The sequence below is a fragment of the Homo sapiens genome, chromosome 4, assembly GCF_000001405.40.
Source record: "Homo sapiens chromosome 4, GRCh38.p14 Primary Assembly".
Lineage (NCBI taxonomy): Eukaryota > Metazoa > Chordata > Mammalia > Primates > Hominidae > Homo > Homo sapiens.
Window position 1 is genome coordinate 42,580,659 of NC_000004.12, and position 19,927 is coordinate 42,600,585.

The following is a 19,927-nucleotide window of genomic DNA, read 5'->3' on the forward strand; positions in this document are numbered from 1 at the left end:
ACAGCAATCTCGCTTGCCTATTGATAATACCTTCATGCCTGTACAAGGTACAAAGGTATTAGCTCTGAGAGCAGATTTTCATTTAGTTTCTTAAAACTGTTTTCCACACCCATCTGACTATTGAATATTGATGGTATAACACAGGGACGGAGCAACTGTAGGCAGGTGTGAAGATCAATGCAAGAATTAAAGCTGATGGCAAAAATAGCCTTACATATAAATGCTATGAAAAATGGTCATTTGATTCAAATTTCTAAAAAATTTTATTAAAAGATAGAAATTTAAAAAGTTGACTATTGCATTAAAATTACAAGACAAATGTTTTAATGCAGATCACTTATCATGACATGGACGACTTGTAATAATCACTATAATAGTTAGTAAATGCTGCCATAGACCCATACACAAAATTCTTGAGAGTTCATGCATAATCCCTGGTGAACCTTCCAGTATTCCCGTGTGCAGTTAGCCATTCTTTTTTTATTTTTTTTTTGAGACGGAGTCTTGCTCTGTTGCCCAGGCTGGAGTACAGTGGCGCGATCTCGGCTCACTGCAAGCTCCGCCTCCTGGATTCACGCCATTCTCCTGCCTCAGCCTCCCGAGTAGCTGGGATTACAGGTGTCCACTACCACGCCCGGCTAATTTTTTGTATTTTCAGTAGAGACGGGCTTTCACCGTGTTAGCCAGCATGATCTTGATCTCCTGACCTTGTGATCCGCCCGCCTTGGCCTCCCAAAGTGCTGGGATTACAGGCGTGAGCCACCGCGCCCAGCCCAAGCCATTCTTATAGGGAGGTAATTTCAAGGTCCCACTCACAGGAGTACCAGATTCTGAACATATAGGGTTGGATCAGGAGTCTGTGACAGATGGTCTCCTATGTTTGGGACCACTGCACTGAGATCTGTAAATCATACACTCACAAAAGCCTTAGGTCCAAAAGGTTTCATAGAGAAAAATTTCACCTGCATCAGCTTGGTGTCATGTCCAGTGTAGACAACTATTCCATGAACCCACTGTGTATTTCTCAACTGAGCTCCTCGAAGAAGAATCTGATCTGCTCCCAGTGGAACGGTGCTAGGACAGATTACGTTGACATTAGAAACAGTATTTTCTAAAATGCTTAAGAACTCTAGTTACCATATAGTTACAAAAGTACCCATTATTAAAATAACCCTTCTCATATTTATTTCTGGAAAGTAATTTCCCCCCAGTACAAATAATTTTCTTAAACAGCAACGACACAAGTATTTACATTGCTTTTCCTTAACACCAACCAGTCATTTTCTGTAACTTCACTATCTGGTATGGACTGCACTCTGTCCCTCCACTATTCACATGTTGAAGTTCTTACCACCAATGTAATGGCATTTGGAAATGACCCTTCGGGAGCTAATGTGATTTAGAAGAGGTCATGAGGGTTGGGTCCTCATGAAGGGATTAATGCCCTTATAAAAAGACACTCGAGGAGTTTACTCTTGTCCTTGTGAGGACACAGCAAGAAGGGGCCTTTTGCCAGCCAGGAAGATGACCCTCACCAGAACCCAATCATGCAGGTACTCTGATCTCAGATGTTTAGCCTTTGGAAATGTGAGAAAAATAAATTTCCATCATTAAAGCCACCTAGTCTATGGTGTTTTGTTAGGGCAGCCTGAGCAAGCTAATACATTAACCAAAATAATAGGTAATGTTTTGGAATTCAGAGGCTAATTTACACAACTATTTATAACTTTTCCTAAATAAGTCCATTTAGATTTCTAAAAGTGTTAGGAAGTGATGGGGATAAGGAATCTGTCTACTCACCTCAGCCTCAACACACACACACACCACACACACCCACCCCCCACACACTCTCTCTCCCCCCCCACCCAAATTAAAAATAGCTTTGTACATAATAAAGGTGCAAAAAAATTCCTAAGATAAATACACAGATCTCACCACTTATTTGCATTGCCAGCCCTGACCCCCTACAGACAAGTCCCTGTACTTAAAACCTCTAGAACATTCATTTTTATAGTATTTGAAGATTGGTTTCCCAAGAATTGTGAATAAATTTCCAATGAATAGTAAGCATTTTGGAGCTGTTCATTCCTTATCATTTAAGACACATTTTTCATGAATAAGGTCCCAGTTGGTATTTTTGTGGATTTTTCACAAGGCTACCCACTATGGTAGGTTACTGGGTGATACAACTCACACAGGGACATAAGAAGGAACAAAGCCACCACAATACTAGAGTTCTTGAGGAAAATGTAATACATAAATTTTAATGGGTCATGGATTACTACTACCAAGTCTTCATTTTAATAAGAGAAAAAAGGTCAAATATAAAGAAAAATATATTTAAAAATTCTGGAAAAAGAAGGAAACAATTCCACAAGAAAAGTCGACAGACAACACAGAACTTCTTTGTAAGTGGAGGCAAAGCGAGGCTGAGGTCTTCATTTCTGGTGAGCTGCTCTGGCCCAGTAGGCTTGGAAGGCTAGTAGCAGCTTGGGCCTTGGACATTCAGGAACTACACAAATTCTGACACAGGTAAAATCAATCCCGATGCGTAGGTAACAATTGCACTTGAATGAATCCTTAGGAAATACTGTATTCCAATTTAGAGAAAGAACAAAGCAATTGCAACTCTCATTCTTTATGTACAATAGCATGCCTTTAGGACCTGTCTGGAAGGAAACCCCTCTGGTATATATCTCAAGATTAAGGGTGCATTTCAGAGTTGAAAGGGGCCTTGGGCCTAAAGTGGGTTTCCAATAACTTCTTGGGAAGCTGCACTATGCTCTGGGACACACGTGTGACAACTGTTCCTTACCCAGCCAATGGGGTATAATATGGCAACTGTCACCTCAGCAGTGGTGGTGTGGATTGACCGGAATTAGACACAAACTCTTCAAAAGCAAAACATACCACTTTTCAATTACAAGGACTCAAGAAGAATTAGTTAGTTTTCATCATAGCTGGTGTTCCAAGGCTTCTGGCATTAGACTATGACCCTCATCCTTAAAAGCAACAAAGTATACTCATTCCAAAGGGTCTCCAAGAGCTTTGGGTAATCACTGTAAACCCCAAAAGTGCCACAGATACAAAGGTCTTGAAAATCTATCTTTCACATGAAATACAGCATATTATATAAATTCTCTTTGTACCTTGAATCTTGGCACCATCATACAAAGTTTCTCCTTCACAGCATAGATTTGCTCAGCAACAATTTGACAGAAAACTGTTAAGACATGGAAGCTGGCCAGTTAGGAATGTCAGACTATAGAAACAATACTGGTATAAATGGCCAAATCTATCATTAGTCTTTAACCAGATGTTCATGGAACGATCACTCTGTGAAAATTTTAGAACAACATATAATTACTTCACGGATTACAGGAAAGCTTTTGGAGGATCTGAATGAGGATGACAGTTCAGGGTATACTTCAAATGTCCTTTAGAATTCAAACACTCTAATAATGCAATTACAAAATAATGAAAACACCAAAAACATTCTCTCAGGCTGCTGAGTTCAACTAGTATATTTAGCCAACATTTAGTTGGCCACTACAATGCCTGGGAGATAAGGTATACCATAAAGTAGGGGAAGCAGGGAAAGAAGGGAATGGAGGAGGAGAAAAGAGGGGAGAAGGGAAGCAGGAAAGACTTCACCTTTTCTGCCAGTTTCTGCCTCATTTCTTTGCTCTCTTTGCAACAAAACTCTTTGAAAAAGAAGTCTATACTTGCTATTTTCAACTCTTCTTCCATTTTCTCAAACTCACTATCGTCAGGCACCTGTTCTAATCAATTTCAATGATCTCCACTTGCCAAACGTAAATATGTTAGTGGTCAGTCTCATTGTACTTGACCATCAGCAATGTCAGACTCAGTTTTGGTCCCCCTGCTTTGGTACAGTTTCTTCACTCTCTCTTGGTTACCATCCTATAAACTTGGTCTCCATCTCTTTCACTAGTGCCTTTGCCTTTCCCAACATAACGTTGGAGGGTCTCAGGATAGCTCTTGGGTCTCTTCAGTTTTCTGTCTATACCCTTTCATTCTCAGTTATTTCTTCCATCCTCATGGCTTTAAATATCTATGCCACTTACTTCCAAACATATCTCATGAACCCAGACTTCTGTCCCAAACTTCAGATATATATTCAACAGCCTCCTGGACATCTCTGTTTGGACCAAACTTATAAAGTCCAAAACTGAACTGCTGACCTTTCTTCCTCAAAATCCTCCAGTGAATTCCCATTTCACTCAGAGTAACATCCTCACAATGGCCTACAAAGCCCATAGGATCTGGCCCTCTATTTTCTCTAGGCCCTTCTTCTATTACTCTCTTCATTGATCATAGCACTCCAACCACACTGCCCTAACATTCCACAATTATTCCAGGCACTTTTCCACTTGAAGATCATGTAATGACAGAACTAATAATTTACACTGACTACTCCTTCCATCTGGAATTATCTCCCTCCAGATATTCAAAAGGCAAATGTCCTCACCTCCCACTCATCATTGCTCAAATGTTACCTTTTCAATGAGGCTAACTGTGACCACCCTAACAAAAAGTTGTTCCCTTCCAAAGACACCCAATCTTCCTTATTCTGTGCTATTTGTTTTCCCAAAGCATTTATCACTTTCTAACATAGTATAAACTTCTTATTTATCATCTTATTGTTTGTATGTTTGCCATTACCTTACTGCAAGAAAGTAAGCTCACAAGGTGCTATGGTCTGAAAGTTTGTGTCTCCCCAAAATTCACATGTTGAAACTGAATTCCCAAAGCGGTGTATCAGAAGGTGGGGACTTTGGGAATGGAATTCATGCCCTTACAAAAGAGGTCCGAGAGCCTCCGCCATGTGAAGACACATACTAGATGACATCTATGAGAAACAGGCCCCAGCAGACACTGAATCTTCTAGTGCCTTGATTTCGGACTCCCCAGTTTCCAGAACTGTGAGCAATAAATTACTGTAATTCATAAATTACCCAGTCTAAGATATTTTGTTACAACAGCCTGAACAGACCAAGGCTTAAGGCCAGGAATATTTATCTGCTTTGTTCACTGTTGCCTCCTTAACACCTTAACTGGCTTGGCTTACTGGGTGCTTAATATGTACTGGTTGAATGAATGAGGGAAGGGGTAGAAGAGAAGAAACAAGAGAGGCAGGAAGCAGGTAACAAAAAGAGATGAGATGACTATAATTAATACCACAGGCTAGAAAGAACATTTGAAATTTCATGGAGGAGACAATAAATTATCCAGTACAATAGACCCCTTGAAGGTAGAGTCTGAACTCCTTGAAGCATCTCAAGATCACAGGAAAGGACCCAGGCCATGCAGATTGAATAGTTAAGCCTATAACACGAGTATTTGGCCAAAGAATAGAATAAGCCACAGGTAATTCTTACTCCCATTGTTTACCCACGAAACAATGTGCCAGAAGCTGGGAATATCTCTGAAAATATCCTCCAGCCAGATTGGCAGGAACTCTGGGAAGTCATCAGCTATACTACATGAATGGATAAGATTCAACATCTTCACAGAAGGACTCAGGGCAGAATAAAAATGCTTTAAAAAGGGTTTTGAGGACTCAAACTTAGCACACAAGAAGATAATATGTATCCAGACTTAGAAGACACAGCAATACTCTATGACACAGTGGATTCTGTGTTTTTATAAAGACGGATTTTACATACCCATGTCCATCAAGCCTTATGTTTCCAACAAAATCGTAGAGATGTCTGTTTGGACTTTCACACTCAATTCTGCCAGAAATCCTCATCAAACTGTCAACGTCTTTGATATCTGATGTTGCTGGTAAGCCCTGTTTGGAATTTTTAAATAAGCAAAAAGTATATTAAATAAGTTGTATCTGGGCAAAGAGGAGGAATTTTGAATTCATCCAAGTCTTAAGATCTAAAAGATCCCATTATTTTTATAAGCAATTCTCCTCTACTCTGTCAAATCATAATTAAGAGACACCTTCCTCCCTGACTTGAGCACAGGTTTTTAGCGCAAGAATAGGGCACCTTTATGAGAGTTCTTAAATATATTTAGGAGACTATAAGCTAGTCTACAAAGATAATTTGAAGTCAGTCCCCAAAGAACCATTTGCTTGTGAAAATAAAAGTAATATTTAGCACTATACAGTCTGAGTCTGTCTTCAGAATCTAAACAAGATGAAAATGGATGGAATCTGTGTTCAAAGAACATAGCTTTGTTTCTCTTTTTTTATTCCAGAGAAGGGAAACTCCAAAACAGGTTTTCCCTCTGGCCAACCAGAAGCAGCTGTCACTGAGCAGGGCCCCTCACACAGTGGCAGTCTGGGTCCAGGCCCTCTGTGATGATCTAGTTCCAACACATCCCAACCCTCCCAAATGTCATTTTCATCATTCATCTAGAAACCAAAGGCATACATTTTTAAAGTCCCTCTTAAAACTTTAAAAACTTTACAGTTATTTTTGCTTGACACGATATGAAAAGTAAATATAGAAATGTAAACTATTCCCCAAGATGAGTAAGATGAGTGAGAGTTTTTGAATGGCAATAGAAAGTACGGCTTTTTAAAAAACTTTAATTTTAGGTTCAGGGGTGTACAATGGAGCTTATGTAGTAAACTTGTGTTGTGGGAGCTTGTTGTACAGCTTCTTTTCTTTTCTTTTTTTTTTTTTTTGAGACGGAGTGTCACTCTGTCACCCAGGCTGGAGTGCAGTGGCATGATCTCGGCTCACTACAACCTCCGCCTCTCGGGTTCAAGCGATTCTCCTGCCTTGGCCTCCTGAGTAGCTGGGATTACAGGCACATGCCACCATGTCCGACTACTTGTTGTATTTTTAGTAGAGACAGGGTTTCACCATGTTGGTCAGGCTGGTCTTGAACTCCTGACCTCGTGATCCACCTGCCTCGGCCTCCCAAAGTGTGATTACATGTGTGAGCCACTGTGCCCATCCTTGTACAGCTTTTTTTTTTTTTGAGACAGAGTCTCGCTCTGTCGCCCAGGCTGGAGTGCAGTGGCGCATTCTTGGCTCACTGCAAGCTCCGCCTCCCGGGTTCACGCCCTTCTCCTGCCTCAGCCTCCCGAGTAGCTGGTACTACAGGCGCCCGCCACCATGCCCGGCTAATTTTTTGTACTTTTTTAGTAGAGACAGGGTTTCACCGTGTTAGCCAGGATGGTCTCGATCTCCTGACCTTGTGATTCACCTGCCTCAGCCTCTCAAAGTGCTGGGATTACAGGCGTGAGCCACCGCGCCCGGCCCTTGTACAGCTTTTTAACATGGCAAAGTCAAATTATAATTTGAACCAGGTGAATAGGAAGAAGTTAAAACATATCAAAGCACTTAGAACTACTATTATCTGAGTGTTAGCTATTACATAATTAAAAATATTACAAATATATCTATAAGATAGATCATATTTAACCAGACAAATACATCAGAATCTTCCATAATACTTAACAATACCAGTTTATAAAACCTCTTTGTTGTGGTTCCATGGGAACATATTTGCAATAGGACAGATTAGTTCAAGACAATAACACAAAGAAAGAAGCTCTTAATTCCATGTAATAAAATAGCAGTGATTATACATATACTTGTATCAGATCTTACCTGTCTAATTTTCAAGTTTGTTTCACCATCTAAGTTGGATGTTTCAATGTAGCACATGGCTTGGGGCTCACTGTAGTTTGGAGTTGAGAAGCACAAAGATTTAGTGCGGGAAGAAAAGCATAATAATAACTTATTTAAATGCTCAGACTCACTAAAGCCTTTCGTTCTAGACAAAGTAATAGTTACTTAGCTTCTTGATGATTTTCATTCTAACAGCAAGATGCTGTGAGGCAGAACCCATGCATGACAACTCACGGATTAGCTTTTCAGCCAGAAGGACCCAAAAGCAATTTCCTGACAACAATCAGTAATGGTCTTCAAGATAATGCAAATGAATAGATTTGCACATTATATTTAAATTGTTCATCCACATAGACACAACACAGACTGTATCTGAAATGTAAAGCAGTTTTGTGTCCGGATTTATCTTTAGCTCAAAAACACCACATGAGATTTCATGCTCATGGCACGCATGTAAATTGGTTAAGAAAGTGGTTGATGAGAAAATTCCAGATTGCTAGTTCTACAAACCTGCATTTACTACCCTTTTAGCTATGATGAATAGGATCACATAAACCATAATATTTAAATTTAAGGTTATTTAAAAAAAGTAATATGAACAAATTTTACAATGAAAGCGGATATATAGCTTTCTCCCTCTATGTTTTCCACTCCTGCTCTCCTATTAAAGTTGCTTGAGAGATTCTCACAGCGGTAAAAACTAAAACTAAAATCAGTCAGCTAGGCCATATTGCTCCTTGACCTAGAAGATGCACTTCATGGGTTCCCCACCAGTGTGTCTTAGTAAAATCTGGTGTGTGGCGGCTGGCCTAAGGGGTCCATGTTCTCCAGTTTTATCACACCACCACAGCCCAGACTGTCTTATCTTTCCCTTTCACATGCTGATTTGACTTGCCCAGCAACTACAGACATCTAAGTTTGTAGCCCAACTGTATAATCTGATCCTTAATTCTAAAGAAAAGCATTCTAATCTAATTAATGCTTGGTTATATAATAGGCTTAATTTACTAATATCACATAAGTATTATAAATGTAATCTCTTATAAGCATGTGTACTCAAAGCTAGAAAGAAAAAAATTTACAAATTACAAACACCTGGAATTTTCTAATCAACTTCCAACTTGTACATGTGCAAAACAGACTATTCCTAGTTTCAGAAATGGGCATGTAGCTTAATTTTGTGGCCCGAAGATTTGTGAAAATTGCTTAAACACATAGACATTAATCAAAAATATTTTACTGATTCATTTTAAAGTAGCTCTGCAGGTTCTTCAATTTACCCTATGAGCTTTCTTTCGTAAAAGCTGCTACTTTTCCCCAAAATTAAGTCCTTCAATATTTATATTTTCACTCTATAACTTATTCAAAATTTTATTTTTAAAATCACTGTCACAATAGCAATTTGGCTCTGGAAATTGCTCGAAATTTGTAATTTACTTATGTATACATTTGAAACATAGTTTATGAATTTATAAAACACACCTGATAATATAGAAGCACGATGACAAAGAAAATACTAAATGACAATGTTGATTCCATATTCTGACAATTAGAATAATATTCTAATTCTACTTTTTTTTTTTGCATAAAGTAACTTATCTAGGTCTTTAAATGGCTAGGAAGTTAGGAAGTTCAAATGGCTAAGTTCTATTTGAAGTTGGGGTAATAAAATAAGCATCGAAATTCAGAACATTCTCAACAATCACTTAGGACAGCAGTTACTGAAGCAATTCTTAATAGTGCTGTGAAAAGGCAGCAAGAAGTCTCAGATAAGGAATCATGCTAGATCATAAATATTTCAGCAAATTATGATGACATCTAAAACACAAACTAGTCAAGAGAGGCAAAGCAGGCTTTTTGATTAGTAAGTGAAAAATGAAACAAGATGCATATCACAATACAGTCACTAGTAGACAGCTGAAATTGATCACAGTAACGTGCACTTTGTCACTAGATACAAGTGGGATAAAAGTCGATCCCAAAGCATGCGGTACAAAATGTGCAACATCCAGCTTTGTGCAGGGGGTCCTCTATAAACCCTATGAGCCCAAATTATAGTCACAATCGCTGGAAGGATTTTACAGAACTTACAGAAAAATTTAAAATACAAGAATAAGACATGTTTATAATCTAATCAATTTTCAATGACTGTTTCATGAAAAGCTTAACATTATTCAAAATAATATCCCGGAGAGATAATAAATTAAGCCTTAGTACTTAGGCATGTTATTAAATACGAATATATATTAATGGTGCACAGGAAATTAAAATCTACCTTTACTGTCATGCCTCTTAGACTCCTATTGATAACAACAGGAGTTCAATTTGCCCAGCTGAAGGACAAGCATCAGTCAACATAGTATTCAAAAATCCCTTTAAAACATCTGTGAAATGTCCATCACCAAGCAGTATAAAAAGTTTGTGTTTTAAAGGAAGAGACACAGAACTCAACCATATTTGGGTGCAACTGTTCTCCGGTTTACGGTGAGGACCCACATACACGCATCCTATACGACTCAGTGGTTCTAACCTTGAGGACAGACTGATGAGATCTGCTGGGAGATGTTCCCCATTGGTCACTTTCACTATCTCCCCTACTGCCACCTACACGTCCCAGTATAAAATAATTAAAATGGCCAAAAAAAAAAATGAACAGAGGAAAAAAAACAAACAAATGGACAAAAGAGACAGAAAGTTCGAAATTATTATAGAAAATAATACATGTTAATAAAAACATCTAATGCCAATTTTTTTCAAAACTTATTTTGATCAGGTCTGAAGGCATAAGAAAACATTTAATATTTGAGGGTTATTTATTTGCTTTTTAGCCCAATTTAAAGTTTTAGTGTGAAAACTTAATTTTTAAAAGTTTACTCATAAGCTTATCAAATTAAAGCATATTTTATAGAGAACTACATTATAGTCTAGATTTTTCTTTCTCAAATTTCTCAACCTCATGCCATCTACTGTATGTCCACTTGTACCAAAAAAGGAAGAAAATAATAATGAAAATTATTTTTTAGGGTTGTGATAGGGTCTTGAAAAAAAAAGTATACTAGTCCCTGCCCCACTTAAAAAAAAACTATTAAAAATGTTCTGACTCCAAAATATTTTTAAAGTTAATTGAATAAATATCTTACTAACTTTAATGCAAAGCTGCAAAGAAGTCAGCTTTGCATTATGCCTTAGGAAGCTTTGCAGTTATGCCTTAGGAAGTCAGAAGGCATAACTGTAGCCTTTTGAGTTACTTAGCAATTAATGAAGTCTAGAGAATGCATTGTTTTGGAAGGGTAAGCCTTTGAATCCAGAGAAATTTTTTCAGAGAGGGTATGAAATAGACATGCGGAGAATATGGACTTGAATTAACAGCTTGAGTTATTTTACCCTACTTTATACTTTCTTAACACATAAATGTATTCATTATTTATTAAATGCTAAAATCTGTTTCATTTCAAAATGAAAGCCTACGAAACACAGTAACTTTCAACCATGTTCATGCTTTAATTTCAAACTACCTCACAGAAGATGTACTCTTAGTAATTAAAAATTAAAAAAATTGAAAATTAAAATATTATAAACAGTTGTTTACTCTTACTGCTAAGTGGTTGCTCACTTGCGGGTAAAAATCATCATGTACTTCTTTTGATAGTGGACAGTGTGAAGATAGTAAATTAGGAGTATTCCAACCCTGACTTAGTCATTACCTAAAGTCAAAATTTCTCTTTCAGTTAAATGATTAAACAACTACTACCTATTTCATGAGGTTAATGTAGATTCAAAGGAGCTAAGTAATGCTAAAACCCTTTGAGGAAAAAAAATACTGAAAGGTGGTACTCTGCTACTTGGATTGAAATGTCTAGCAGCACAGCTTTTATTTTGAATTCTACTCAATAACAAAAAGCAATGAATCAGATAATCTTTTAAAAATATAATCTTGGAGGAAGTTAATCGCTGTGGAGACCATATTAAGACACAGAAACTATTTCGATAAATTGAAATTCATAGCCACCAGTAAGTGTTTTTAATGCTTATAAAACAAATTCTGTAAAAGTGGTCTAAAGTTTAAGAAATACAAGTAGCTTGCTGGGGAGTTTCTGAAGTTGGATAGAGTCAGACGGCAAAGATTTTGAAAATTTCCAACTTAAAATTAAATACAAATTCAGGGCAGTATAGTCGATTATCTTCACATTTTTGAGCATCAAAAATAAAAATTGTATTTAACGGTTCAGCCTATATGATTCATTCTATAATTATGTCTCTAAGAGTTTAATTGGGAAAACAATACTTTCCCAAATTGTTAGAAGGTGTTACTATCATTTTGAACTTATATACAGTCACGTGACAATGACAGGTGTAGCTTCTGAGGAATGCATTGTCAGGCATTTTTGTCACTGTGTGAGCATCATAGAGGGTACCTATACAAACCTAGATGGTATAGTCTATAGGCCATATGGTATAGCAGATTGCTCCTAGGCTACAAACCTGTACAGCATGTTACTGTATGGAATAGTGTAAAGAAACAGTAACACAATACTAAGTATTTGTGCAATAGGAATTTTTCTGCTCCATTATAATCTTATGGGACCACCGTTGTATATGTGTTTCGTAATTGACCAAAATGTTGTTATGCAGCACAAGACTTCAAACATTCAGATGGCCAAGTGTCCAATACATTCATCACATTTTTACTTAGTAAAACTGAATGGACACCATTCTGTAAGGTACTCTTAAAGCTTATCAATTTAAACAAAAAGAATTGGGGAATATTGGAATTTGATCATTTAATCCATCTTAATATAAAAGATGTGAAATCAAGGCATGAGAGATTAAGCAGTTGGTTCAAAATCACCAAATCAGAATAAGAATCCTGGCTTTTCACTCCCTAAAGAGAGCTCTTTCTAGTGCCTGATACTACCTAGAACCTGAGACAATGACAATAAGCTCTCCCTCAAGCTAATTCTGAAGACGCCAAGAATGGACGGTTAGCTTCACTCAGTTTTAGAGATTTATCCTGATAAAGTTATAAGCAAAGGAAACTAAGAACAGAGGGGGTGATTTGAAAACATCTATATTATTTTTTCTGAAAACAAAAACCTATAGGTACATGGCACAAAATTATAGAAATATAACTACCTGCAGTTACTTTAATTGGTTGTAGACTTACTTCTATAAATATCTAGTATAAATACTTTTATTTGTTAAGTTTCGCTAACTTGTCATGAATCAAATCACTTTAAATGATGACCTGATTAAATAAATTTTGAAAAAAGGACACTGTCCATATTCATATGTGGATTTACAAATAAACCTGTCCAAGGAAATGATGATAAACAACCTCTAAAATATTAAAAACAATTTTTCTTAATTTAAAATAGGACTAGTTTATAGTTTTTAAACCTAAAACCATTTGAAAGTCACATTCTTTAAAGAGTAACAGTGCCATATGTTCTGACTACTAATTCATGATTAAAATATGAGTAAAATGAAAATTATTTAAATTAAGTAACTGAAAGAACTTAAAAGAAAGAGCAAAGTACTTTTGTGTTGGAAGAGTATGGCATTTCAAAAGGCATAATGGCAAAAAGAATCATTCATCCATTTTTTTATACCATTCCATCATAATAATCAAGAAACTCTGTAGGGATTTATGACGAACAAGGACTGAAAGATAAAAAATATCAATAGAACCCAATCCATGTATTATATAAAATAAATGACAGGAAATCTTAAAAGAGTTATGATCCCCACAAAAGATCTGGATAGATCCAGAGGGAGAGTAGACTCTTAATTATATTTGAATGATAAAGTATAGTACCTATCACTTATTCTATATGGCAAACATGAAAAAGCCCTTTAAGTCCAATCAATTTTTTAAATGTTTAAATAAAAATTATTAGAGAGGTTTTAAATTCTTCGTTTATTCCTTATTTCCTTGGAGAAATCACAAGGTCAATGCAGGGTAGAGAAACCATCCTCTACACTGTTTGAGCATCAGTAGGCATCTCTACCTTGATGAGAGAAGTACAGTGTCAGCAGGTATATACTCTTTGCCTTTTATTATAACTATATCTCCAACATTTACCTGAAAGAAAACTGGGAATTGGTTAATTATCTGCATTGAAAGATAGTTACAAATATACAACCCATTGTAAAAAGCATAGAATACACAGTAAAAATGGTTATCGGCAAACAAGAACCACTTATCTTCACAAAATGGAAGAAAATTATCTAGGAGTGAGACCAGGGTTGGAGGAATCCTTTAAAAAAAATGAACATTGTATATTGGATATATAACTTATCTTGATAAAATCAATCTATTCTATCCACTTAATTGACACCTTAACTTCTCATATCCTCTCTGACATAAAAATATAAAGGAGGGATTTACCAATATAAATCTTTATCCTATTGAAGAAAATCTCAATGCAACTGGAGACGCTATCATATATAATTGCTCCTCACAATAACGCTTGTGAAACAAGTATTGCTTATAACTCATCATTTGGAGAGAAAGAAAATGAGTTTGAGATTCTGAGATTTTTGCTCAAGATCATGGGGAGTTGAAGAGCTTAGACTCAAATCCACATTTGACTGTCTGCAAATCCTGATTTTGCATAATTTTGTGAAACTATCAATGTATTTTAAATTAAAAATTAATCTCTTCATTGTACTACCTCTTAGCATTTTTCTGAGCCTGGCATAAAGATAAAGAGATACTATTTTCAAAAACTGATAGCAGTCATTTAAGTGACAGATGTGTCACATAGCTTTTGGCAAACAACACAGTAACTAAGCAACAACTTGGCTTAACTGAGTTGACCAAGTTACACTGTTAGCCGCTCCCTTTACATCATGAAAGTTGACCTCTTAGTAGACAAATGAGACTAAACATGAATTTCAATACTTAATAGATGGAAAAAAAAGACTTTCTAAATTAAAGCCTGTTTGTTCTTCCCCCTCCCTACTTTTCCTTGAACTCTAAAATAACACTATGAGGGTAAGAACAGAATAGTGTCTTTTGTGGGAATCATAATAAGAAATTACTGCAGAGGCAGCCCACTGCAGTCTATTATTTACCAAAAGAAGAGGTTAGAAAAGGTTGGGGCAGGGGTATTGTCTTTTTATTTATGACACGTATGCTTAAGTTCTGGGTCCCTTGATTCAAAAAATAATTCAGCTGAAATCTGAAAGTTGGACTAGCTGAAACTGGCAAATTACCAGGGATCTTGGAATCAAACACCCCCTACCTCAAAAAAGGGCAAAGAGGAAAAATTAAAAACTGCAAGTATAAATGTAAACTGGTCCTTAAAATAATGTGCTGTGATGGTACTGTGATTACACTCACTGAGAAAGATAATAAAATGTAAATTCTCTGAAATCATGGCACTTAGAATGCATCCAGGTTACCATTTAATTTTCTTTAATCAACTCCTGTATGTTAATGTTTCCTCTTAAATTCAACTGTGTGCTTCACAAAATCAGAATCACGTCCTCTACACTATCGTGTTAGAGTCTAACAGTCAGACTTAAACAAATCCCTAATTGATTGTGCTGCTTTCCAACATCTTTACTCATTGTAAGACAAAAGAAGGGCTTGTGGTTCCTAAACTCAATAAAATAGTAACAATTTATATGGTACCCCAGTGGCCTGGGAAAACCAGGGGCTTACTAAATGCTGAAGTTCTTACTAAAGCATGCTAAATCAATGACTGCTAAAGTTCTTTACTGTAAGGAAAGTAGGGAACTTAACTCCTTAGAATGTCTATGTTTAAGATCAATTTCTCAAAAGACATCCAAACACCTGTCTTTCCTTTTGGATTCTGAGCTCCTAATACGGCATTCCCCTTCCAGCCTAGTGTGTGCATAAGAGGAACCAAGAGAAGAAAAAGTCAAGATGACAAAAATGCTTTAATCATACATATTCTAATTGGAGGAATGTCATGATAAAGCAATTTTAGTCCCCAAAATGCCAAAGTTAAGGAAATGTTTAGGGCTTTCAGTCCACTACCTACAGCCTTCTGAAGTCACTCATATTTGCAACATCAAGGATTATGTAAAATAGTAAGATTATCAGACTGCAATAGCCTGATTTAAAAATCCAACTATTAGCTGGGCATGGTGGCTCACACCTGTAATCCCCGTACTTTGGGAGACTGAGGCGGGCGGATCACCTGAGGTCAGGAATTCAAGACCAGCCTGGCCAATATGGCGAAACCCTGTCTCTACCAATACAAAAATTAGCTGGGCATGGTGGCAGGCACCTGTAATCCCAGCTACTCAGGAGGCTGAGGCAGGAGAAACGTTTGAACCCAGGAGGTGGAGGTTGCAGTGAGCCGAGATTGCGCCACTGCATTCCAACCTGGGCAACAGAGCGAGACTCCATCTCAAAAAAAAAAAAAAAAAAGAAAAGAAAAAAGAAATACATATTGTGGTGGAAGCTTCATGCACAAAAGTGGCTTTACAGAGTAACTTTTACACATGCATACAGCCCACCATGCTTCCTTAATAAGCCAGAAGAATACGTTGATTCCAAGATTCTTTGGCTAAATTCTCCACCTGCATACATCTCAAAAACCTGTGAACAGTGTTAGCTGCACCTCATTGTAAAGAAATAATCTGTGGCAAGAGCAATGAAGCCAGCAGCTTACCGTTCAGGAGTCACAATGTAGTTCCTTGTGTAGGGCTTTGTGATTACCATACTTTCTTTTAAAACTATGTATCTGCAAGTTAACCTTTTGCAACAGGGAAAAGGTTTCAGGGCAGTAACTGGAGAGATAAACCACTAATATCTGAGAGCTGAAGTCTGCCCAGCTGTGAATGATTAGATGCATGCTAGGCAAATTTGTAGGTCCTTTGAGGATCATTAAAGAGCAACCACAGTAGCCACACATTTAGAAAGGCAGAGAAAGAGCCCTGAAGTAAAGCCCATTTACACTAAGGTCTATCATATTACCTTGGCATGTAGACGACACTCTTGGTTTTGGTTTATTGATTTTATTTTTAATTGGACTAAATATCATATAAGGCAAAGAAAAGACTTGCCTCAAAATCTTGTTATCCCAACAAGTAAGGCTGCTTTTGTGCCTGTTCGCTTGTTCAATAAACGATTTACAAAGCCAGTATTTCAGTGTACATAGTACTATTTTTTTTCACCTATGATTATATCTTATGATACAGGAACCCTTACTTGTCTTGCTTGCTGCTTTAAGCTCACTGCTTGGCATATGCACTCAATAAACACTTGTCGAATGAATAGTATAATTTCTTCTGTGTTGCTACACCATGTGACATTACAGATTTTACTTGTCACAAAATATGAGTATAAAATGCCATAATTTATAAAACTGTCCCTATTGTTGCATTTCCATATGTTCTAGTTTTTTGCTATTATAAGTAAATAATGCTACAATAAACATTTTTATACACGTGGAGATATTCTCCAACTTTTTCTTTTCTTGGGATAAATTTCCAGAATCCCGTTTTCACAGTTCTCAATATAAATAGCCAAACTGCTCGTTCACAATAGTATGTAAATAAAATATTTCATAAAAATAAATCTGAAATGTTTGTTTTTATTTATTGAATAGGTAGCAAATGAAACTTCAATATGGTTTAAATTTGCAAATTTTATTAGGTTGAATATTATACTGAGTCTGGTCAATTATCATATTTCTGGTTTACTGTCAAGTTTTCCTATTTATATAACAATGATCTTAATCATTTGTCCTATTTGGTGCAAATATTTCACATAGCCTGCCTACTTATTTGTGGCAGTTTTTGTTGTGTATTTGTTTTAAAATTTATATAATCTAATTCCATAGATTTTGAGATATTGCTCTTCTTCAAATATTTATTAAGGCCTTTATTCTATTTGTACGTTTTCTAAAAACAACATTTTAACATTTAACTCTTTTAGTCAGTTGACATTTATTTTAGCATAGGTTGTGACTTAGATATAAATATTCAAATGCTATTTCTTAAAACTGCTAATCTGTGATAGCAATTCTTTAAAAAATAATTTTTGCCTCCTTTTTCAAATATTAAACAGGCCTTATTTCAGGGCACTATATTTTATTCTATACTACTTAAATCTGCTCCATGTTATTCTACTCATCAATGTCTATTTTTGCAAACCACAGTGTTTTAATAACTTTTGCTTTCCATTTCACCTGTAATCTTTACACACTGTTCATTTTTCCAAAATATATTCTACTTTCTTAACTGTTTATTTTTGCAAATCAGATGAAAAATTTAGTCAATTCTTGAGGAAAATATAATAATTTCCCTGGGATTATATTACTTCATAATTTGGAACAAGTGATATTTCACTTTTAATTTTTCTGGGAATATGACATACTTGTAAATTTGTATGAATCTTGAATATCAAAGTTTGGATGCTTTCTTTACAAAGGTCATACACATACATTAAATTTACTTGTAGGCCTCCCATAGGCCACTGGGAATGAGACCTCTTCTTCACTTTATTTTCAAACTTGATACTGCCAACTTAAGAATGATGTTAATTTTTGAATATTTATCATGATTTCATCACTGAACCAACTTTTAGTGATTCTAATTACTTCTATAATTCTAATTATTAAATAACTTCAGCTCTTTTGGGCTGGATGACTTTTGGCAACACTTTAAATTCTGTCCTTCTTTATCTCAAAATGGGATGCCTAGGTTAGGTGTGCCATTGACCTGTGAGATGACTGAAAATGCTATTATTATGGGTAATCCTGGCTGGTGATTTGTCTGTCAAAAATAGGAAAAGTAAGAATTACAATAATCCAGGTAGGTTAGCACAATCTTGAAATAATGATTGTTTATTAGGAAAATAAGACATTTTAAAGGTTTAGAGTGAAGTAGTACATTATTATCTCCTGACTTTCTGTTTATTTTCTGAGCAAGCAGCCTAGGTTATTTATTAGCATGCATATTTATGTTAACTACACTGACAACCCTAGGTAAAATAATATTTGTAATAAAATTCATCTTATCATACTTGATTATATCCTACCTGTCTTCTTTCTAAAATGTTTAATTCCATAGGTGCCAGAAAAGAGTAGAAAAGAAACTTATTTTGAAATTGCTTTTAGCATTTTTATTTTGTTCTTCTGAAAAAGAGATTCCTATCACAGAAATAAATAAAACACAACCAAGGTATTTTCCCATTTGTTGCTCTCATGTCAAAAACCAAAGAAAAAATAGGGGTAAATTTTCAACTATATGAAAGAGGAGATGTCAGTCTCTATTCTAGCCACTGATTGAAAATCAACAGAAATTTAATTAATTTTTAATTGGGGGGTACAAGATATCCCCTGCAGAAATACAAGATGACCATGACAAGGTAGAATCAAGGGCATGGACTTCAACTAGCTGGGAAGTACTGGAGTGCAAATAAACTGTTGGTTACACTTCGATTGTCCTAGCAAAATACTGTCCTGTGAGATACACCTCTAATGTCCTGGCAATCCCAGGAAATAAAGTGCCCTAAGAAGGGTGGCTCAGACTCCAAAAAGTCTTTTACCAAGTTACCAAAGCTATTCATTTGTGGATGACTAGATTTTAAACCTTCTTCCAGAACTAAGGGAGAACTAATAATAATTGCTTACCTTTTGAAAGTGAAGGCTGAAAAGAATAAACACCTGAATAACATTTGTTAAATTATGACTTAACCTACTAACTGCCATGTTAGAGGTCCTATAAACAAATTAATCTTTGATGTTAAAGAACTGATTTCATTAGAAGACAATGTTTAATTTGTAAGATTTTTGTTTTAAAGGAATTAGTGGTAAGCAAATGTAATTAGTCTCACTATATGAATTGGAAGTAAAATATGCAGAAGTAAAACATCAGAACTCAAAATTCTTATTTTTACTTGGACAGTAGATGAGTAAAGCAAAAAATTACAACACAAAACAGTTCATGGTTAAATAAAATCTATGATAACAGTACTCAAAATATACTATGAAAAAAACAAAAAGTTCTAGATATTTTTCAAAATAAGTCTTTCTATAATACAGCAGAAATATTAAATGAATGTGACTGAAGATGCCATGCATGTTTATATTACTAAATAGCTTTTATATTAGTAAAATTCTTCACATTTGCTCATATTATACAAAAAATTATATATACTAGAGTACACCGCTATGTATTTCTTCTCCTGGAACAAAATAAAAATCAGTGCATACCTTTTCCCAGTGGACAATTTCCCAAGCACCATTTCTCAAAACTGGAAAGAGAAAAGGTGACATTTTAAACAACATGTTTTACTATGAAAAGGCCATTTCTGATGAAAT

At 35.8% G+C, this 19,927-nt stretch overlaps 1 protein-coding gene across 12 annotated transcripts in view; it reads right to left on the minus strand.

Moving 5' to 3' along the window:
- ATP8A1 (ATPase phospholipid transporting 8A1) overlaps window positions 1–19,927 on the minus strand; it is a 248,733-nt gene that overhangs the window by 172,286 nt on the left and 56,520 nt on the right. For 6 of the 12 annotated variants that reach the window (NM_001105529.1, NM_001400025.1, NM_001400024.1 and 3 more), the window contains exons 6-10: window positions 19,820–19,860; window positions 13,631–13,704; window positions 7,602–7,671; window positions 5,691–5,818; window positions 963–1,074 (exon numbers count right to left, since the gene is read on the minus strand). In NM_001105529.1, coding sequence (NP_001098999.1) covers window positions 963–1,074; window positions 5,691–5,818; window positions 7,602–7,671; window positions 13,631–13,704; window positions 19,820–19,860 — 425 coding nt within the window. Of the gene's footprint in view, window positions 1–962; window positions 1,075–5,690; window positions 5,819–7,601; window positions 7,672–10,152; window positions 10,227–13,630; window positions 13,705–19,819; window positions 19,861–19,927 lie in introns of all 12 variants that reach the window. The other 6 variants (NM_001400026.1, XM_047449508.1, NM_006095.2 and 3 more) reach the window with 2 other exon arrangements.